This window comes from Homo sapiens, chromosome 8 (genome assembly GCF_000001405.40).
Source record: "Homo sapiens chromosome 8, GRCh38.p14 Primary Assembly".
Classification (NCBI taxonomy): domain Eukaryota; kingdom Metazoa; phylum Chordata; class Mammalia; order Primates; family Hominidae; genus Homo; species Homo sapiens.
The window spans coordinates 18169669-18193900 of NC_000008.11; the positions used below are offsets into that span (position 1 = coordinate 18169669).

General features: G+C 38.0%; 1 protein-coding gene across 5 annotated transcripts in view; it reads left to right on the forward strand.

Annotated features, from left to right (window-relative positions):
* NAT1 (N-acetyltransferase 1) overlaps nucleotides 799-24232 on the forward strand; it is a 53223-nt gene continuing 29789 nt past the window's right edge. For all 5 annotated transcript variants that reach the window (XM_047422397.1, XM_047422398.1, XM_047422399.1 and 2 more), the window contains exons 1-2: nucleotides 799-839; nucleotides 1011-1071. The gene's annotated coding sequence lies outside the window, so the exon portion shown is untranslated. The remainder of the gene's footprint in view (nucleotides 840-1010; nucleotides 1072-24232) is intronic.

Consider the following 24232-nt stretch of genomic DNA (forward strand, 5'->3'; position numbering starts at 1 on the left):
TGGGTATTTACCCAGAAGATTAAAATCAGTTTATCAAAGAGATGTCCACCACTGCCAAGTTCATTGGAGCACTGTTCACATTCACCAAGTTATGTCATCAACCTAAATGTCCACCAGCAGATAAAAATAGTTAAAGAAAATGTGGTATGTAGACACAATGGAATATTATTGAGCCTTAAAAGGAAAGGCCGCGACAACATAGATGGAATTGGAGAACACTAAGTGAAATAAGCCAGAAACAGAAATACAAATAGCAAATTCTCACTTATTTGTATAATTTAAAACAATCAACATCAAATAAACAGAGTAGGATGGTGATCAAAAGATGCTGGCACGGGATGTTGGGGGAATGGGAAGATGGTGGTCAAAGGGTACAAAGTCTCAATTAGACAGAAGGAATACATTTTTACAATTTTTCAGTTTTTAGAGATAGTGTCTTGCTCTGTGGCCCAGGCTGGAGTACAGTGGTGCAATCATAGCTAACTGACTGCAGTGTTGAACTCCTGGGCTCAAGTGATCCTCCCACCCCAGCCTCCGGAGCAGCTGGGACTATGGGTGCACACTACCACACCAGCTAAAGTGTTGGTTTCTTTTTTCCTTGGTGATGTTTTCAGTGGGTTAAATACAGTGTTAGATTTAAGTTTGGCTCAAAGTGTCCTTTGTACTGGGGTAATACGGTTTGTCCCCTGTTGGTCTCCTTACTTTGTGAACTTTACCTTAGTTGATGTGTAAACAAGTTGTAACCTAACCTAGGAGTTTACCTTTGTAACCAAGTGATCCCAGGCTGAAAACTAACACATTCTGCTCAAATAAAGCCTAGGCCAAACTGCACAAATCAGGTAGTCTCTTTATGTCATTGCTTGTTCTCTGGTTATAAATGTAGCTCACCTCATCGGAGGTGGGGGCATTCTGAACCATCTTCAGTGTAGAGGGCTGCTTGGTTCTAGAATCCTTTTCTTGCTCAAATAAAGTTTGTTAAATTTAATTTAACTTGGACTTTTCTTTAACAGATTGACCCAGTCGACAGGATCTGAACTTCCAGTGACCATCCCAGGAACAGAAAGCAACTGTGTAAGTGCCCTCCAGGGCCCATTGAGCCCAGGGATCTCTTTTCTGGGCCTGAATTGCTGGGTGAGCCTCTCTCTGGGATTCTAACTTCCACTTATTTTGTGTTCTGAGCTCTCCACGTTTATCTCAGCGACCTTTGTTCCTTTTTCTCTCTCTCCTTTTTTTTTTCTTTCTTTTTTCTCCTGTTTTACTGAATTGGATTTCACTTAAGAGGCCAGGCATCTGATTAAGTTAGAGTCTGAACAGGGTTCAAAATCAAATTGGATTCAACAGTTAACTAGATTGGATCCAGTTAAAGGCCTTGGGGTAGGTAATTTTGATCTTTTCGGCATTTGAATCCAGGGTTTTGTGCTTGAGAGAGCATTTGAGAATCATGACAGAAACAGGACCCAGTCCTACAGGGAGGCCTCAGTCTGACTGGGTCAGACAGAACTCAACTGGGCTCTGTAGATAGGTAGAGTTAGCCTTTCTAAAGGTAATCTAAAATTAAAGTGGCCACAGTGGTGACATTTAATTTGGACAGAATTGTTTACTTGTGAGGCATATTCAGAAAAAACAGAGATCAGAACCACCCCCCCAAAATACTGGGATGTATTTTTTAATTGGTACTGGGAGGCACGCAAAAGACTAAATTAATCCAAATTGCCTCCTTAAAAGATTTCTTTGCAAAAGGCAAACAAAAAGCTTAAGCAACAGACTAAGGACATGAAGAAAGAGGGGTGCAGTTTGACCGAATTAACCCTGTTTTGCTTCCTACATGTTTTTACCTCAAGTTTCTGAATCTGTTAACCTTTTGGCTCAATTACCTTTTTGCCAGAAAGAGCTAGGAGGAATTGTTGAAAACCTCTTACATTTAATTCCTAATAGCTAAGGTATTTCTGCACAAACAAAACAAAAAAACCTCCAAAAGAAAACAAAACAAAACAAAAAAAACCACACCTGATTGGTCTGTTACACAATTCTGCAGACAAAAGGACAAACCAGACTGCAGAGTTTATTTAGAAACATTGTGGAACATTCTGAGCTAGAAACGCAACAAGGAGTATTTCCTTTAGGGACTGAAACAGTATTAACTTATAGCCTGCAATTAGACCCAGTAGCTAAGCCATAACCTAATTACTTAAAAGTAAGTAGCAGTGGTTGCCAAACTGGTAGCGATCTTCTCTGAGGTAGTTTAGGGAAAAATTTTTCTTGCATGTTCCACATGCTATGGAAAGCCTCTTGAATTCCATTCTAACTCACTGTCTTTCAGCAAACAGACTAACATCTTATGAAATTCTTCTTTTGTCTTCTAAGCATCATTTAAAACACTGAAATATACTTAATCCTCCTGCTCTACTACCTCTAAGGACAACAGTGAAAACTGCCCTTGTGTGAGTGTAGCGTCACAAGTAACAACCACTTGTGTTGATTTATAAGATTCTCCATTAGCTAATCGGGAGTTAATGCTTTGTGTTAATGGGTCTTAAGCCAAACACTAGAAGAAGAGAATAGCAGGCAGTGTATGCTGTTACAATAGAAACTTTTAAGCTCCACATGTTTTATAAGACTGTTGACATTTAACTGCTTCTACCTCCCGACATGCCACTTTCCTCAACTTTAGCTTTTCAAACTGACTTCTGATCACACTGCTTCATCAAAACGCCTGCTGGGAAAGTCACCAGTGACCTTCTGATCACTAGCTGGGTTGATTCTTTCTCCATCCCTGTCCACCATATAATTTGTCCTTGCCGCCAGGCTTGTCACTTATTCTCCCTCATGCAATCCATGTACCAGTCAAAACTAATACATGCTATTTCCCCTGGCCTGTGCCCATGCTGTTTCTCTGTGCAGGCCACCCTTTACTCTGGTGGTTCAAATTCTACCAATACCTTGGCTCAGCTCAGTGGTAAACTAGGACTCTTAACACTCAGCCTTTTATTATCATTATTCGGATAAACATCTTAATTCTGTTATAAAATTAACTCCTTGAAAGATTATAGCTTATTAATCTCTACATCTTTCATGGTTTGTATTTAATACACTGCTGTGCACATAATTACTGTTTAATACATATTTGAGACATTGACTTCAATTTAATTGAATTTCTAGACGGAGCAAATTATACCCCCAAAGAACTTGAGTGGATGCTTCAAGGTCACCTGCCAGGGAGACTTTCTAAAACGAGCTGTTGTATCTGAAAAGTGCCTCTGAGCAGTGCCCCTGTAGAAGAACAAAAGCATGTGAGGCTAGACGCACACATTTTATCATCCTCAGTCCGTTCTCATGGGGAGCCCAGGACCTCTCTTCAGGGGCGAGTCTTCCATGGTGTTTTATTGTCAGGCAGAGAACAGTGCTACTGCTGCTGTAGATTTCTCTGACTGGGCTCTCCTGGCTGTGACCTGTTAGAGCACACGTGCACACAGAGATGCACACACACACACACACACACACACACACACAATGATCATGTGCACAGCACAGGATATGAGCAGAAATACATCACATTTCTTTGATCCTTATTGCAGTCAAGGCACATGGGTGCAGCTGCAACTTGAACTTTAGAATCAGGGTGTCTCGTTCCTCGAATGAGTTCATACTATCTAGCATTTTCATTCTTGCCATCTGTCTTCTACAATAGGTCCCTCTTGTTTTCCACCTCATGGAATGAATGTTCTTTTATCATCCTGTTTATTAAAAAACCTCCAACATATCACTACACAGAGGAAAAGCAAGGCTGTTGTGGATACTCATGTGCTTATGCTGTGCACCTACATTCAGCCCCAGAGCCACATAAAGGGCTTTCTAATAACTGGGATGGCAATTGCAGATGGCCAACATTATAACACTGAGGCACAGAAAATAGTCTCACCTCTTCCCAGTACTTAGGAGCCCAGCGTGGATAGTGGAGAGTGCACATTCCACATCTTGGTTCTGACACTTTCTTGTTGTATAGTCTTGTTTCTTCACCAATAGAATGGGTATAAGATTATGTACCTCATAGATTTGTTGTGATTATTTAAACATATAGCTTCCTAATCCAATGCCTGGTCCCTAATGGGTGGTTCCTTTTAACAAGCAAATATTCTCGACTACCCCATAACATCAGAGAATAGCCTTGAAACAATGTTATTGACATTTTAAAAATCAAACAATATGCACCCCATATTATAGTTATAGTTTCATTGCAATTACTTAAAGGAGTGAATAGACAGACTCACCTTCATATCCACTTTTAATCTAACTGAGAATATCTCAAGACAGTCTATTGAGATGGATAAAGTAAGAAACAGAGACAGAGCTTGTTGATGTGTGTGTGAGTCATCCTCCTTGTGAGGTTCTGTGTGTGATGAATGGCTCACTGGCGCCCTAGGGTCACTAAGAAGAGAGAAAAAGATGATTAGAAGAAACGGAACATTTTGCAATAAAATAAATTGCTATCAATATCTGAGCAAGTGTATGACTAGATTAGCCACATGAATGTCTGTTTCCCAGGGTGAGGGAAAAGCTGTGAGGCAAGGCTGTTCAGTGACTGGACTTATATCCACCATCACTGATTACAACATTCTCAGCAAGCCGTATTTCATCTGGACACATTCAGTCCCTGCCCTTGCTAATGAAGATTAAACACATCATTATTTTAGCTTTCCACTCATTCACTGATGTCCCTTCCAGAAGTCACCTCACCCCTTAATTTCCTCCTCTGTAAAGTAAAGTTCCTACTGTTTTCTAGCTACCTTCATAAAGATATTCAAGGATGGCTGGAAAATTCTTAAGTTGTCAGAGGAAGGCACCACAGGTCAAATCCCATTAAAAACACATACAGAAAAGTATTACATTTTCTCCATCATAATGGACCTTCAACTTAACAAATAATTCAAAATCCGGAGGAGTCCTCACGCCCTGGAGAACCCAGCTTTAGAGGGCGGTTATTGTGATTTTTCCCTGTAATAATAATATTTATTTATTTGTGTAGCAGTGGTAGCAAGCATAAGAATAGCAAGCATCACGTAAGGAGTCGGGAAACCCAGGGTTTTTTCTAGCTCTATAACTCTGGGCAAACCTCAGCACACAAGCCTAAGCCCCATCTTTTACAGAAAAGGATTGGCTCTATAACCCTTTTACCTCCCAAATGCGAACTCTCATGCTTATATAGCACTAAGAAGAGTGAGAGAAAACATACACAGTCCTCAAAGGGTTTACGGTCTCCCCACACCTCTGGGCAACACAATCTCAGAACAAGTATGTACAACGCTGTGTTGATCTTCTTATATTCCTGCTGCCTGGTTTTATTAAGTTCAATATTTCTGTATCATATTCATGATTCCTTAATTTTTTTGTAGAGAGTTTTAGTTTTCTAAAATATTTATTTATAATTGACAAATAATAGTCCACATTTATGGGGTACAGTGTGATGTTTTGATCTATGTATACATTGTAGAAAGAGTCAATCAAGGTAATTAACATATCTATCACCTTATTGCTTTTTTTTTGGTGTGATGAGAATGTTAAAAATCTATTCTTTTTAGCAATTATGAAATATACATTATTATTAATTATGGTCAAAATGCAGTGCAACCAATCACTAAATCTGATTCCTCCAGTCTAACAGAGACTTCGTACCCTTTGATCAACATCTTTCCATTCCCCATCCCTCCTCCTCTCCCCTAGCTACTGGTAATCCCTCTATACTTTTTGTTTCTATGAGATCACATTTTTTCTGAGTCCACAAACAAGTAAGATTATACAGTATTTGTTTCCATGACTGGCTTATTTCACTTAGCACAGTGTTCTCCAGCTCCATCTATGTTGTCACAAATGACAAAAGTTCCTTCTTTTTCAAGGCTATATAGTATTCCATTGTGTAATATAGTATGTTTTCTTTATCCATACTATCATTGATGACCACTTATGTTGCTTCCATATCTTGGCTATTGTGAATAATGCTGAAATGAACATGGGAGTACAGACATCTCTTCAACATACCAACTTCAATTCCTTTAAATATATATCCAGAGTGCAATTCCTGGGTCATATGGTAATTATATTTTTAGTTTTTTTGAGGAAACTTCATACTTTTTCCCAAAATGACTGTACTAATTTATGTTCCCAACAGCATACAAGGGTTTCCTATTCTCCAGATCCTTGCTAACACTTATCATTCCTCTTTTGGATAATAGCTATTTTAACAGATGTAAGGCAATATCTCATTGTGTTTTAAATTTACATTTCCCTGATGATTAAAGATTCTGAGCATTTTTCATGTATCTGTTAGCCATTCCTTTCTGTTATTTTGAGAAATGCCTGTTCAGATCCTTTGCCCATTTTTAATCATGTTGTTTGTTTTCTTGCTCTTGAGTTGTTTGAGTTCCTTATATATTTTGAATATTAGTTGCTTATCAGATGTATGGCTTGTGAATATTTTCTCCCCATCCGTGGGTGGTCTGTTACTTCTGTTAATTGTTTCTTTTGCCGTGCAGAAGTTTCTGAGTTGAATGTGATCCCAATTTGTCCACTTTTGCTCTTGTGGCCTGTGCTTTTGGAGTCCTGTCCAAGAAATCTTGCCCACACCAATGTCATGGAGAGTATCCTCAATTTGATTTTCACAGTATTGAACATTAACTGTGTAGTGTCACAGTTTCAGGTCTTACGTTTAAGTATTTTATTCATTTTGAGTTGACTTCTGCATATGAGTGTGAGATAAGTATATCCACATGTAGAAGAATGCCATTTATTAAAATGACTGTTTTTTCCCAATTTGTGTTCCTGGCACATTTGTCAAATATCAATTGGCCATAAACACTTCGGGTTATTTCTGGGCATTCTATTGTGTTTCATTGGTTGAGGCGTCTGTTTTTATGCCAGTGCCATGCTGTTTTTTTGTTTTGTTTTGTTTTTACAATACATTCATAATATTTTTGAAATCAGGAAATGTGATGCCTTCTACTTTGTTCTTTTTGCTCAAGATTGTTTTGGCTATTCAGGGTCTTTGTGGTTCCATATGCATGTTAGGATTTTTTTTCTATTTTTATAAAAAAATAACATTGAAATTTTAAAAGGAGTTGTATTGAGTCTGTAAATCATTGCTTTGGGTATTATGGATAGTTTAACAATTCTAATTTTTTCAATCCATAAACACAGAATATCTTTCCATTTATTGTGTCATCTTCAATTTCTTTAATCAATGTTTTATAGCTTTTAGTGTAGAGATCTTTCACCTCCTTGGTTAAATTTACTCTTAAGTATTTTTTCTGATGCTATTGTGAATGAGATTATTTTTAAAATTTCTTTTCCAGATAGTTTGTTATTAGTGTACAGAAACACTACTGATTTTTGCATGTTGATTTTATAACTTGCATCTTATTGAATTGATCACTTTTAACAGTTTTTTTGGTGAAATCTTTAGGGTTTTGTATATGTAAGATTATATCAACAGACAGTCTCATTTATTCCTTCCTCATCTGTCTCTTCCCAATGAAAAAGAATTAACGCTCAGAATTACAGTATCTTTTCTTGTTCCCTCTTTTACCTATCCCACTATATTCCAAGAATAGTAAATATTAAAAGACATTGAATAGGTTTTGGAATATACAATGAATTAACTTAGATTTGATCTTTGATATTAACCCACAAGTTTTATTTATATAGTTATATGAGCATTAGTCAGACTTATCCTCTAAGTCCTAAAATTTTGTGTTTAAAAATTGTAAAATTTACAAACAATTGCTTCTGACGTAAGAATGGGAAAATTGCTTTATTTTTATAAGTCCTGAATTCCCAGCTTATATTCATTTGGTGTCACTGTCATTACCCATAAATACTACTAGGTATTACATGAAATTCCATTGTATACAATAATGGGTTAGTGTTTTTACCTCATTTTAGAAATGAGGATATATGTGTTAATGATAAATGCAGTGGGAGGAAAGACATTCGTATCCCACTGTCCTAAAGCCAAACAATAATGTTTATGTTGACCTTTCAGATTTGCTCATCATTTTCCTTAGCTGGAATCAGAAGAATAGAAGTCTTAGTTTTCAGTTTTAGATTACGCAGGTTGCAACTTTATTAACATGTGTATCGTTGTCCAGGAGAATCCAAAAGGCAGCTTAGAAGACGGATGTTTCTAATTATCTGAGTGACTTTGGGCACCTTTTATTTAATGTAGCCTTAAGGACCCTTCCAGTTTTGAGGTTATCTTAGCTTTTGATTTTCACAGTATTGAACACATGGGATTAAGATTCAGTGAGAAACAGCTGAGTCAGCTATTAACTTTCTCTCTTCTTACATCCTCCCTGGATTTTCTAACAAATGGTGCAATTAATCTAACGTAGCTAAAAGGCATTATTAGGTCACATGATTGGAGTCATGGGACAGAGGGAGGGAGATGGGAAATGGCAAGTGCTAGCTGACACTGCAGGGAAGAAATAACACCACTAGAGGCAAACTTAAGAGCAGGAGATGCAAGAACTCACACTGTATGTTTCTAGGAACCTCTGTTTAGCAACTGTTTTGCATATTTTTCTGGATTTGTAGCTACTTGACAGAAAATAATCAGTGGTGACTTCTTAGACAGCATTCCTTCTGGTCAAGCTGGTCTTCAGAATATTAAGCTACTGAACATAAGTCAAAAGAGAATAAAAGTTTAGTGTGGATTTTCTTGTATATTAAAATGTGTGGCTTTGATATACTATTTTATTTCTGGGCTGAGTTAGAATCAACTTGATAACAAAACAGACATCTCTTCACTCACAGAACCTGGATTGAGGTTCTATTTTTGGGTCTTCACTGGAAGTTTTGCTACTTTGGCCAGGATGTGTAGACAGCAGAGAATTACAGTGCTCAGTGAGATGTGAGCTATAGCTGAAGAGCTCATGAATCAAGTTTTCCTAGTGAAAATTATCACTGTTCTTTCCATTTAAGTCACAGATGAATAGAATTGCAAGGCTTTCAGCAAATCCATAATGTGGACAATTGAGTCATATTCCTTTGAGAGAGGAAGGAGTAGATAAAATATCAGGACTGTAACCAGTTTCCCTAACAGATGAGTGAGTGTTAGGAGAAGGAATGCCGGGTTTTGAACAGAGACTTCTATGGGCTCCATTCAGTTTCCTCTCTGTTCAAATTCTAGAGTTTAGCTGACAAGCTTTTCAAGTCTAATACCACTTACTCCTCTAGATTTGTCTTTTCACCTTACGCTTCAACCTCACTAAACAACAAGTGTTCTCCTCCAAACACTACAAATCCTTCTCTATAGAATACCTTTCCTCAACAGTTTCAACTTGTCCTTCTTGTTCCTGCGTGCCTTTAATTAGTCAACATTTATCCCTCTATATTCCACTGTATGCCCGGCCTTCTCTCTTGTCCTCTTCCTCACTCTGTCCTGGCCAATTTGTTCTTACATCTCTCCATCTACTGCACAGTATTTGCCTGATATTTGGTGTCTGTTCCTTGCCTAAAACATTGGGAAAATCTCCATGGTGGGGATTGTGTCTTAGTCGTTTGGCACATCCAGTTCCAGGACACTCTTCATATCCTCAATGTGGTAATACTACATAATCATTCACTTGATAATAGCAGCAGATAAGGTGAAAAGGTAGATAGGGAAGAGAGAGAATGAAATAACTGATTTTAGGGAATTGGTCTAAGGTAGAATTGAAATTTTGGAGCATTTTCTATGGCCACTCAAATTAGTAGCATCCTCTTGAGAACCTTGGTTTTGAAGCACCAGCCTGGAAGTGGCATGCATCACCTTCACTTTTTTCCACTTGTCTCAGTGTCAGCTGGAAGCTTTTTGATGTGCTACAGCAAAAGGCTAAGAAATGGCGTATTGAAATGAGCACAGAAAGAAGGGCAGAACTGATTTTGGTGCATGATTAGCAGTCCCTGCTGGAGTCTGCAGACCCCAGGAAAATCGTACATGTGTTCTCAAATGTCTATAAGGGATCAAGTTTCAGAGGCGTGGGAGACAGAATCAGAGCATAAAGCATACTTCTTTAGTCAATCATAGTACTAGGGCCCTAGGGATAGATCTACACATGTGCTATCACAAACCAAATCAAAGCAAATATTTATTTTGCACTCATATGCATGGCATTGTGTTTAGCCTCATGAAAGACACACAGAAACACAAGGAAGGCACTGTTTCTGCCTGCCTCTAATGATTTGCAGTGTAGAAAGATTAAATCTTAAGCAACTTTACAAGATATACAAAGAATAATAGAGGAGATGTCATAAGGCAACAATAACTAATGGCCCAAATTACAGACTAGGCAGAGCCGGGGCATAGTAAGAAGTCAGAGGAGGGAGTATGCTATGCAGTAGGGGTCAGGTAAGATTTAAAGAAAAGTACTGAGGCATGAAAGACAAGGTGTGTAGATAAGCAAGGAAGGAGAATTGGGGGAGCTAGAGGGAACTCATTGAAACCCCAAAAATCATTGAGGACCACCAGTTGCAAGGTTCTGGACCAAGCCTGGGTGGGCTTGATGAGTGGACTTGATTCTGACATCAGGGTGGTGTTGAGTTAGGAAAATTAGTGCTAGAGTTGGATTTCACACTTAGATGAAGGGAAAATGAATTTTGTCAAGGGGGATGCTATTTGACTAGGGTCTGAGGGGTTGAGAAATGGTTTTTGCAGTCCAAAAGTACAGATGGAGCAAATGCAAGCAGGTATGAAGCCTATAGTGGATTTGGGAAGGAGAAACAAAGAAACAAAGATCTATTGAGCACCTGCTCTGCTCCAGTATTTTGTTGAGGATTTTTGAATCTATGTTCATTAGGAATGTTTGCCTGTAATTTTCTTTTCTTGTAGTGTCCTTATTTGGCTTTGATACTAGAATAATGCTGGCCTCATAAAATGAGTTTGAGTTCTATTGCACAATATGGTGACAATTTATATTAAGATATGATATAGTACAAAATATCTAAAACAGAGGCTTTTGAATGTTCTCACCATAAAGAAATAATAAGTGCATGAGGTAATGGTAACACTAAATACCCTTATTTGGTCATTATACAACATATATATATTAAAACATCAAGTTATACCTCATAAATATATGTAATTATAATGTATCAGTTTTTAAAAATGAGGTGGCTGGGAATAGTGGATTTATTTCTGGATTCTTTGTTCTGCTCCATTAGTCTGTGTGTCTGTTCTTATGCCAATACCATGCTGCTTTGGTTGCTATAGCTTTATAGTATAATTTGAGACAGCTAATGTGATGCTTCTAGTTATATTCTTTTTGGTCTGGATTGCTTTAGCTATTCAGGGTCTTTTGTAGTTCTATACACATTTTAGAATTTTTTTTCTATTTCTGTGAAGTATGTCATTGGTATTTTGATAGGAATGCATTGAATCTGTACTTACTTTGAGTAGTATGGCCATTTTAAGAATATTAATTTTTCCAATCCATTAGCATGGGATATCTTTCCATTTTTTGGGTCCTCTTCAGTTTCCTTCATCAATGTTTTATATTTTCCTTGTGGAGATTTTTCATTTCTTTGATTAAACTTATGCCTAAAAATTTAAAAAGTAGCTATTCAGTAGGATTCAATGGGATTGCTTTCTCAATTTCTAAGATTTTTTTGCAATTGGCTATTGGCTGAGTACAGATTCAACGCAATCCCTATCAAAATAACCATGACATTCTTCACAGAAATAGAAAAAAAATAGAGATGCTATGGATTTTTAAATGTTGATTTTGCATCTTGCAACTTGAGTGAATTTATCAATTTGAACAGTTTTTTGTGGAGTCCTTACGTTTTTCTAAATATAACACCATGTCATCTGTAAACAGGGATAATCTGACTTCTTTCTTTCCAGTTGAGATGCCCTTTATTTCTTTCTCTTGTCTGATTACTCTGGCTACAACTTCTAGTACTATTAATATGTATAAAAGTGGTAAAAGTGGTGAAAGTGGGCATACTTGTCTTGTTCCAGATCTTAGGGCATAGGCTTTAATTTTTCTCCATTTGGTATGATGTTAGCTGCGGGTTGTCATATATAGCCTTTATTGTTGTGAGATATTTTCCTTCCATATCCAGTTTGTTGAGACATTTCACCATGAAGGGACGTTGTATTTTATGAAATGTTTCCGCTTCAGTCAGGTAGTGGTGAAGCAGGCCAGGACTTGTTTTCCTCCAGTTGGGGCAGTGGATTCTCCTCTGTCCCAGGGAAGGTCTAAATTCTCCCTCTCTAGGTTTGGAATCAGGCACTGTGGGGGCTCTGCCTGTGCTGTGTTGCACCGTGGCAGGCCTGACTCTAAATTCCAATACAAATTCCCATACCCACTTCCCATTCCCTTCCCCAAGCAGGAATTGTCTCTCTCCTCTCTATGGTGCCTGGCATTGAGGAGAGGTGGTTTTGGCAATGAGTGATTATCCTTCTTACCTTCTTCAGTGTGTATCTCTTCTTGTTATTATGCTAAAACCAGGTACTGTGATAGCTCACCTGATTTCTTTAGCTCTTTTGAAGGTGTCTTCTTGCAAGGATAGTTGTTCCATTTGATGTTCCTGTGGGGGGTGATTGACAGAAGGCCTGTTCAGCTATTTTGCTCCCCATATTTGAAACTCAGCATTTCTTTAATATTCCAATGTATCAGTCTTTTTTTATAATTAATGCCTTTTATGTTTTATACATACTATTAGTGCATTTTGTGTACAAATTTTCTTATAGCCCAAGGTCATGAAGATTTTCTGCACTGATGTTTATTGGAAGCTTTATTGTTTTACCTTTTACTTTTAGGTCTACAATCCACCTAGGATTGATTTTTGCTTATGGTGTGAGCTATAGATTGCTTCGTTTTTAAAAAGAAACTCTTTTCACTGCTTTGCAGTGTCATATTTGTCATGAATTTGGTGTCCACATGAGTGGGTCATTTCTGAGCTCTCTATTATTTCCTTAGCCTATTTTTCAATCTTGATTTCTAGAACTAACTAAGTCATGTTTTCTAGCAGAGTAATTCTCCCCACATTGTTCTTCTCTAAGACTGTCTCACTATTTTTGACTATTTGCATTTTAATATTCATGTTAAAATTAACTCATCAATTTTCACTCAAAAAGTGTTGGGATTTAGATGGGGATTTCATTGAACATACTGATAAACTTAGGAATAAATTACATGTTTTCATTAATTTCTATCTAATCTTCATTTATTTAGGACTTTAAAAATGTCTCTAAATAATGTCTAATCATTTTCTGCATAAAGATCTTATGCACCTATTATTAGATTTATTACTATTTATTTGAAGTTGTTTATGCTATTATAAAGTCTGTTTTAAATTAATTTTTGTCTTAGTCTATTTTGTGCTGCTATAACAGAATAACACAGATGGAGTAATTTATAAACAGAAATGTATTGGCTCATAGTTCTGAGGACTGGGAAGACTAAGGTCAATGCACCAACCAGAGGGGAGAAGAACGCTGACTCCTCATGTGGTGGAAGGTGAAAAGGACCAAGAGAGAGCCCACTCTTGAAAGCCCTTTTTACGATTGCATTAATCCATTCATAAGTGCTCTGCCATCATGATGTAAACACCTCCCATCAAGCCCCACCTCTCAATACTGTTTGCATTGCAAATTTCAACATCAGTTGGGGAAGGGGACAAACATTCAAACCATTTTAAACCACAGCATTCTGGCTGTGGTCCCCCAAAACTCACGTCCTCGCATATAAAATACATTAATTCTTTCTCAATAGTCCCGGTAAGTCCAAAGTCCAGAGTCCCATCTAAATGGAAGAAAATTTGCAGAATTAGGAGTTTGTAGGCAGATATTCAGAAGAAGCCGGCAGAAGAAGTTCCTTACCCATGTAGTGTCTTAAAGGCCATTAGAGATAAATAGCCCTGAGGAGTCAGAAGAATCTTCCTAGATTAATGGTTCATCATTTTCTGTGTTCCCTTACAGAACGGAAGATATGGGTGAGACTGAAGCATGGTTCATCCTGAGACGAATCCCCTCCCACAATAAACCTATGAAATCAAACTATTTATTTATATGTTTCCAGAATACAGTGGTGGGACAGGCACAGGATAGACATTCCTATTCTAAAAGGGAGGAATAGGCAAGAAGAAAGGGGTAGCAGGTTTCAAGTCCCAAAGCCAATAGGGCCTTACATCTTAAGGCTTGGAAAAAAATCTTGACTCTATGGCCTGCCTTTCAGACACACTTGGGTTGACCTCCCAAGGCCTCAGACAACCCTGCCCCTATGACTTTGCTGGGTTCAGCCCACACAGCATCTCTCATGAGTTGGAGTCTCATGCCTGTGCTCTCCCAGGCTGGCAGTGTATACTAGTGGCTCTATGCTTTCAGGGTCCCGGGGCGGGGTGGTGGGGGGGTCCCTGTTCCCATTGCTTCACTAGGCATTACCTTGATGAAGACTCTCTGTGGTGGCCCCACCCCTGTGACAAGTCTCTGCCTGGGCCCCATGACTTGCCATAACATCCTTTGAAGTCTTGTTGAAGAAATTCATGCCTCCTCAGCTCTGGCACTATGTGAGCCTGCAGAATTAGAACCACATAGATGCCTCGAAGGTTTACAATCTGCCTTCTGGAAGACTAGGTGTGGCCAAGGAGAGTTGCATTAGAATGCATGGATCAGAGTCCTGAGACAGCCCTGATAGAGAGCAGCCCACGGAGGGCGCCCTGGGCCCATCATCCAAAACCCTTCTGCCCACAAAGCCCTAAAGCTCTGGGCCTGTGATTAGAGGGGCAGCCTTGAAGACCTCCAAAATGCCTTTGGGATCATTCTCCCACTTTCTTGATGAGTAACACTTGGCTTTCTTTTATCCATTTAATCTACAAATTACTGGAATTAATCAGTGTAATTAGCAAGGTTGTTGAATATGAGGTCAATACATAATAATCAAGAATAACAATAATTAACAGCATTTTAAGTAATGCTATTATTTGAATGTTTGTCCCTTCCCAAATTCATGTTGAAACAATCTCCCATCCAACAGTAGTGGGAGGCAGGGCCTAACAAGAGGTGTTTAGGTCATGAGGCCTCTCCAGTCTATGAATGGATTAATGCTGTTGCAAACAGAGCTTTCAAGAGTGGGCTTTCTCTCTTGGCCCTTCCACTTTCTGCCATATGTGGATCCTGCATTCTACTTCCCTCTAGAACATTTCACCAGTTTTTGCGTGCACTCATTTTTCTAATGCATGCTTGTGCAAAATTCTATGACATTTTATCAAATGTACAGTGATATTTGACTAGTAAGCTTATCTCAAATTCCTGGAATAAATTCAACTTGGTTGTGGGCTGCTATCTTTTTTAGTTGTTGCTGGCAAATCTAAACATTGGTTAAACAAATGTTTAAATGTTATTTTTTTCAGGTTTCAGGAGTGCTTGTTTCGGTTTCAGGAGTGCTTGTTTCAGTTTCAGGAGTGATTGTTCTGTAATTTTTCCTTCGGGAATGTCCGTATCAAGTTTGTGTACCGACATTAGATTAACTTCATAAAAGAAGTTAGGGGAAGAGTTCTTATTTTTTCTATTCTCTTGAAAAGTTTATAAAAGTTTTGTAAATATTTAGTACAATTCGCCAGCAAAGCCATCTAGGCCGGATGTTCTGTTTGTGTGAATTTTTTAAATTTATAGATTCCATTCCTTTAATAGTTTCAGGATTATTTAGAATTTCTATTTTTCTTGTGACAGTTTTATGCATTATATTTTTTCAGAAATGTGTTAAGTTTACCAAAATTTTCAAACTTATTGCCATAATACTGGTCATAATGTGGTGTAATTTTGTTTTTTACTGCTTCTGAGTCTGTGACAATATTCCCCTTTTCAATCCTATATTGTTGGTCTTTGTGCGTTCCCTCTCTGTATCTGTCTTTTGGTCAGTCTCATCAGGGTTTATCCATATTACTAGTCTTTAAAAACAAAACAAATCTTAATGTTGTTGTTTTCTTTTTCATAATTTCCACTATCTTTATTCTTTTCATTCATTCTTCTTTTAAAATTCCTTGGGTTTAATTCACAACTTTCTTATTCATTTCTTGAGCTAGATATTTTAGATCTTTATTTTTCACCCTTTCTACTTTTCTTACGTATGCTTAAAATTCATATAAATGCATATAAATTATTCCTTTAAGTATTGCTTCGGCTATGTCCCCAAAATTTGATATGTTACATTTTGTTATACTTTCAAAATATTTTCTATTTTTATCATGGTTTCTTCTTTGATCCTTGGCTTAGTTATAAGTGTCCTCCTAAATTTACAAATATTTAGAAAGTTTAAGTCCTCTTTTTGTTATTGGTTTCTAGTTTAATTGCGTTGTAGTCAAAGCACACAGTACGTATGATTTCAACCCTTTGGAACTGGTTAACACTTGCGTTACACGTTTGGGAACATTTGTATTTTAATGTTTTTGGGTGAAGTTTTCTACATATGTTCATGAGAGTCAAGTTTGTTAGCCATGTTTTAAAAAAAATCTATTCATACTGATTTTTTGTGCTTTGATTTTATTAGCTAGTAGAAGATAGGCATTGAAATTTCCCATTATGATTATAGGTTTGTCTACTTCTTCCCGTAGTTCTTTTTCATTTATCTTGATGTTTTACTGTATGATTGTACATCTAGAATTTTATAATTCCAAATGAATTAATGTCATTATGAAGTGCTCCTCTTAATTCTCATAATGCTTTTATCTCAGTGACTAGCTTGCATGATACTGGTGTAGGTACACCATCTTTCTTTTTTTCTTGTTGTTGTTAATGTTTTCACTCTTTTCCTTTCAAGCCTCCTGTTTTCTTGTGTTTAATATCGCTACACATATGTAAGTAGCATATAGTTGTTTTTGAAAAATCTAATTTGGCAATATTTATTTTGTAAATGCTTTAACACAATTGCTGATATTTTAGGTTTATACCTATCGTCTTATTGTATTTTTATTTTCCCATATGTACTTGATTCATTTTTGCTTTTAGAACAGTTGAATATCTTTTATTATTCCTTTTCTTTTCTCCATTGTTTGGAAGTTTTTCCTGTCTTATCATCCTTCCAGTGATTGCTTTACAGATCGCAACATGCCCCTTCCCTTAACAAAGCTGAAAATTAATTGCTAAAAATTGACAAATGGGAACTAATTAATCTAAAGAGCTTTCGCACAGCAAAAGAAACTATCAATAGTGTAAACAGACAACCTACAGAATGAGAGAAAATATTTGCAAGGAGAGCAGAAGAAACTCGAGGAGCTAAAAGTGAAAGCTGCAGGGAAGGGGCCCCTGGCTAGAGGTCAAATTAAGAAATCTGGCAAAAAGTAAGCTGTTCCTTGTGCCTGAGGAGTTGGTGACTCTTGATTTCATTTGTACTTAAACACCTGTATTCCCCGCCATAACATCTTTTGCCACCTATAGCTGGAATGAAGTGTTGTCTCGGAACTGGTGTAAATATAAGAATAAACTTTTGTACTAAAAAAACCACAATGATATACCATCTGACACCGGTCACTGTGGTTATTATTAAAACATTAAAAAATAACACATGCTGGCGAGGCTGTGGAGAAAAGGAAACACTTATACACTGCTGGTAGGAGTGTAAATCAGTTCAGCCACTGTGGAAAACAGTGTGGTGCTTCCTTAAAGACCTAAAACAGCATTTCCATTGACCCAGCAATCCCATTACTGGGTATATACCCAAAGGAATATAAATTGCTCTACCATAAAGACACATGCATATGTATGTTCATTGCAGCACTATTCACAATAGCAAAGACATGGAATTAACCTAAATGCCCATCAATGGCGGACTGGCTTTTAAAAATGTGTATGTGGTACATATACACCCTGGAATACTACGCAGCCATAAAAAAGAATAAGATCATGTCCTCTGCAGCAACGTGGATGCAACTGGAGACCATTATCCTTAGCAAACTAATGCAGGAACAGAAAACCAAATACAGCTGTTCCCACTTATAAGTGGGAATTAAATGATGAGAACACATGGACACGAAGAAGGGAATAACACACACTGGGGCCTACTTGAGGGTGGAGGGTGGGAGAAAAAAACGGGATAAGGAAAAATACCTGTAGGGTACTATGCATATTACCCGGGTGATGAAATAATCTGTACACCAAACCCGTGTGACATGAGTTTACCTATATAACAAACCTGCGCATATGCCCCGGAACCTAAAAGTTTAACAGATCCTGAAAGAAACTGCTACTTTTAATCCATTTATTCCCTCTCAATTTGTATGCTATTATCTTGTATCTTAAACACACACACACACACACACACACACACACACACACACACACACTTTTATGCCACATGAGACAGCACTATTGTTTTGTGGCTCCATTTTTATAAAGCTATGTTGTCTTCTTCAAAAAAGTTAAAATTCATCTTTACATAATACAGACTAGATCTAGAAATTAATATACTTTTACTCTTTGTACCTGAGCAAAACAGAACACTAGAAATAAAGGACGCTAAATAGCATAATAGAAAGTCTGTATGTATGTGATTTCACAAGTAAACAATTAGACACATCCCTGAAAACACTGTAACTGTAAGAAAGCAACATTTTTTCTTCTGATGTCTGCCCAAGCCCACCTTCCGGAATCCATTCATTAAACAGCTTTATGTCAACTTTGACTTCCTCCAGTTATCTCTGACACTAATGACGAAATTTTTCTTTGACTTTTATCAAGGTAAAATTCATTTTAAGAAATGACCACTGATTTGTTTAAGATATTCCAGCATGGGGGAGGAGGGCAAAATATACATTTATAAATGAATAAGTCTTAGTTATAACTTTATTAGCTTTTGACTCAAGTTTAAGTCAAAAAAAGTTGATTTTATCAACTTTTATTAAAATTGGGAAATAGGCATGTGGCATTTGATTATACATATCTTTATTTTTGTGTATGTTTGAATTTTTCTTTAATATAAAGTAAAAAATAGTGGCTTTTTTAGTTTTTTAGCTTTTTTAAATGAAATTTAATTTTTTAATTGATATGTAATAGATATACCTACTTTTAGAAAAACATCAGGCCGGGCGTGGTGGCTCATACCTGTAATCTCAGCACCTGGGAGGCTGAGGCGGGTGGATCATGAGGTTAGGAGTTCAAGACCAGCCTGGCCAACATGATGAAACCCCGTCTCTACTAAAACTACAAAAATTAGCCAGGTGTGGTGGTGAACACCTATAACCCCAGCTACTCAGGAGGCTGAGGCAGGAGAATCACTTGAACCCGAGAGGTGGAGACTGCAGTGAGCCCAGATTGTCCCACTGCACTCCAGCCTGGGTGACAGAGAGAGACTCCGACTCAAAAAAAAAAAAAAAAAAGAAAGAAAGAAAGAAAGAAAATCAGTGTATTTTTTGCCTATCACATCTGCAGAGTATTTGTCCCTTACTTAGAGATCTCAGTAAGAAATATTTATTACAACACATAAAATGCATTATTCACTCATCAAAGTTGTCAGATAATTTGCTACAGTTTTTTTCCTTGGGTAGCATTAGGGGTTCCTTGAGGATTTCAAACTTGAAAAACACATGTTTTATGGCAGCAATTTTATTCACTTTATTATTTTTTCCAACTTTTCCCTCCCTTCCTCTCATAATAACGTTTATTGATCAGGCACTGTGCTAGCTACTTTATGTTTGTAATCTGCTTTAATCATTCCTGCAAGGTAGCAGGTATCAGCACCTCTCATTTGGAGAGTAGTACGAGATGGGAAAAGAGAGCAATACTCTGGGGGAGGCATATCAGATAACAGTGTAGTTTGAAAAAGCACGTGTAATAATATAATAAAAACGGTCACACAACATAGAGTTGATCAAATATTCACTACTAGTAGGAATATACTAAAGACATATTTTTCTACCCCAGACATTAGAATCTCAAGGGGAGTGGGAAGTGATTATTTGAAAAGTTGATCAGTTTTTATAGGTAGAAGGCTTTTGTTTATTTACTTTGCGATGTGGTTGTTTCTTGCCTTTTCTCTCCGAATTCCCTTGCAGTATGGGCTGGTTACACTGTGTTCCACCTGCATGATGACTGTGAAGCTTAGAAGTCACAGAGTTCTGTGGTTGTTGTTTAGGATCACTGTTATGTAGTATTGACATTTGATTATTATTTTGTGACAAGAGTCTCACTCTGTTACCCAGGCTGGAGTGCAATGGCATGATCTTGGATCACTACAGCCTCCACCTCCTGGGTTCAAGCGATTCTCCTGCCTCAGCCTCCTGAGTAGCTGGGACTACATGCACGTGCCACCACACCTGGCTAATTTTTGTATTTATAGTAGAGATCGGTTTTCACCATGTTCGCCAGGCTGGTCTCGAACTCCTGACCACAAGGGATCTGTCCACCTTGGCCTCCCAAAGTGCTGGGATTACAGGTGTGAGCCACCACACCCAGCCTGCTATTGACATTTTATATTCTAATATATGTGTTTTAATTTAATTCAGCTCTTATAAGAACCTGATGAGTGAGATGATCTTAATCCCATTATACATAGAACAAAATGGAGATGCTAGAGGTAACTTGCCCACATTTACTATCCAGGCTACTGTTGTAAGTTTAATTAAGTGCTTCAGAACTTTTTCTGTTCACTCCTGTGTGAAAGTGTGTGTCCTTGGGCTGTATGTCTCATGCAGAGCATAATTTCAGAGGAGGCGGTATTCACTGATGAAGTCCTGGGCAGCTTTGAACACAGCCTAGAGTATTTAAATTGTGGCCACACACAGTGTGACATCACTCTAGTGATCATCTTTGAACTGAATGAGAAGAGTGTTTCCTCTTTACCCTACATGCATTCATTTTCATGTTTATTAGCCCAGGCGAAAAACTTTCCTGAGGACTGACTCTGAAAACCGATTTAATACTTCTTTCAGCTGCTTTCCTCTTTCAGCTGTGGACCTAGAAGCCATGAGCAGCTGCTCTCCAGGACGTGGTGGTGATACCCACTGCTGAAATAGCATGTGGAGCACTGATGCAGGAGGCCAGTTTTATGCCTTCTGTCTTGGACAAAGAAAGCAAGCTGGCCCTGACATCCAGTTGTCATACTTTAAGAATAAAAAATAAATAAGTAAATATATAGATAGGTAATAAACAGGGCCAGGCATGGTGACTCATGCCTGTAATCCCAGCGCTTTGGGAGGCCGAGGTGGGTGGATAACCTGAGATCAGGAGTTCCAGACCAGCCTGGCCAACACAGTGAAACCCCATCTCTACTAAAAATACAAAAATTAGCTGGGTGTGGTGGCACATGCCTGTAATCCCAGCTACACGGGAGGCTGAGGCAGGAGAATCTCTTGAACCAGGAGGCAGAGTCTGCAGTGAGCTGAGATCACACCACTGTGCTTCTGCTGAGTGACAGAGCAAGACTGTCCAAAAAAAAAAGAAAAAAAAGAAAAAAAAGATAAGCAATAAATATACTGATACCCTGTATAATAATACATATTTTAGAACTATGGATCAAATATTAAAGTCTTCCACATTCATACAATATCCTTAATTAAGATCAGGCTCAAGTGAGCATTTCTGACCTGTATGTAATTAAATGCTGACTGAATTGAATATGTCTACAGTATGAGAAGAACACAACAAAATAATAGGTTTTATAGACTGCCTTTGATTTTCACTTAGTGGTGTTTTTAGTTTAATAAAACCTCTGAAGTTTTTTATAAAAACTTTTATGTATACAAGCCTGTTTCTTTTTCTAAGATTTTTGCATTTCACAAGAGAAAATTCCATTCTTAACATTAATGCCATCCCCATCAAGCTACCAATGACTTTCTTCACAGAATTGGAAAAAACTACTTTAAAGTTCATATGGAACCAAAAAAGAGCCCGCATCGCCAAGTCAATCCTAAGCCAAAAGAACAAAGCTGGAGGCATCACGCTACCTGACTTCAAACTATACTACAAGGCTACAGTAACCAAAACAGCATGGTACTGGTACCAAAACAGAGATATAGATCGATGGAACAGAACAGAGCCCTCAGAAATAACGCCGCATATCTACAACTATCTGATCTTTGACAAACCTGAGAAAAAGCAATGGGGAAAGGATTCCCTATTTAATAAATGGTGCTGGGAAAACTGGCTAGCCATATGTAGAAAGCTGAAACTGGATCCCTTCCTTACACCTTATACAAAAATTAATTCAAGATGGATTAAAGACTTAAACATTAGACCTAAAACCATAAAAACCCTAGAAGAAGACCTAGGCATTACCATTTAGGACATAGGCATGGGCAAGGACTTCATGTCTAAAACACAAAAAGCAATGGCAACAAAAGCCAAAATTGACAAATGGGATCTAATTAAACTAAAGAGCTTCTGCACAGCAAAAGAAACTACCATCAGAGTGAACAGGCAACCTACAAAATGGGAGAAAATTTTCGCAACCTACTCATCTGACAAAGGGCTAATATCCAGAATCTACAATGAACTCAAACAAATTTACAAGAAAAAAACAAACAACCCCATCAAAAAGTGGGCAAAGGATATGAACAGACACTTCTCAAAAGAAGACATTTATGCAGCCAACAGACACATGAAAAAATGCTCATCATCACTGGCCATCACAGAAATGCAAATCAAAACCACAATGAGATACCATCTCACACCAGTTAGAATGGCGATCATTAAAAAGTCAGGAAACTACAGGTGCTGGAGCGGATGGGGAGAAATAGGAACACTTTTCCACTGTTGGTGGGACTGTCAACTAGTTCAACCATTGTGGAAGTCAGTGTGGCGATTCCTCAGGGATCTAGAACTACAAATACCATGTGACCCAGCCATCCCATTACTGGGTATATACCCAATGGACTATAAATCATGCTGCTATAAAGACACATGCACACCTATGTTTATTGCGGCACTATGCACAATAGCAAAGACTTGGAACCAACCCAAATGTCCAACAATGATAGACTGGATTAAGAAAATGTGGCACATATACACCATGGAATACTATGCAGCCATAAAAAAGGATGAGTTCATGTCCTTTGTAGGGACATGGATGAAATTGGAAATCATCATTCTCAGTAAACTATCGCAAGGACAAAAAACCAAACACTGCATGTTCTCACCCATAGATGGGAATTGAACAACGAGAACACATGGACACAGGAAGGGGAACATCACACTCTGGGGACTGTTGTGGGGTGGGGGAAGGGGGGAGGGATAGCATTAGGAGATATACCTAATGCTAAATGATGAGTTAATGGGTGCAGCACACCAGCATGGCACATGTATACATATGTAACTAACCTGCACATTGTGCACATGTACCCTAAAACTTAAAGTATAATAATAATAAAAAATAAAATAAAATAAACAACAACAACAACAAAAGATTTTCCAGATGTTAAGATCTAATGAATTAGAATTTTTTTTTTTTTTTTTTTTTTTTTTTGAGACAGGGTCTCTCAGTCTGTTGCCCAGGTTGGAGTGCAGTGATGCAATCACGGCTCACTGTAGCCTTGACCTCCTGGGCTCAAGCAATCCTCCACCTCAGCCACTCAAGTAGGTAGCACCACAGGTGTGTGCCACCACACCTGGCTAATTTTTAAAAATTTTTTTGTAGAGATGGGGTTTCCCTGTGTTGGTCAAGCTGGTCTCCAACTCCTGGGCTCAAGTGATGCTCACACCTCGACCTCCTGTAGCTACTTGGGAGGCAAGGCAGGAAGACTGCTTGAGCCTGGGAGGCAGGGGTTGCAGTGAGCTGAGATCGTACCACTGCACTCCAACCTGGGTGAGAGAGTGAGACTCTGTCTAAAAAAAAAAATTTATATATATATGTATATAATCTGATATATATATATATAATATATATATATATATCACATACTTTTCAAAAACATACAGAACCAGGTCCTTAAAGAGACAGTCCTTCTATCATGTAATTCCTGTGAAAAACGGGATATTGTAATAATGCTACCTGTAAACCTGCTTTTTTTTTTTTTTTTTTTTTTTCGAGATGGACTTTCACTCTTGGGGTCACCCAGGCTGGAGTGCAATGGTACGATCTCAGCTCACTACAACCTCCGCCTCCTGGGTTCAAGCGATTCTCCTGCCTTAGTCTCCTGAGTAGCTGGGATACAGGTGCCTGCCACCACACCCAGCTAATTTTTGTATTTTTAGTAGAGACAGGGTTTCATCATGTTGGCCGAGCTGGTCTTGAACTCCTGACCTCAGGTGATCCATCTGCCTCGGCCTCCC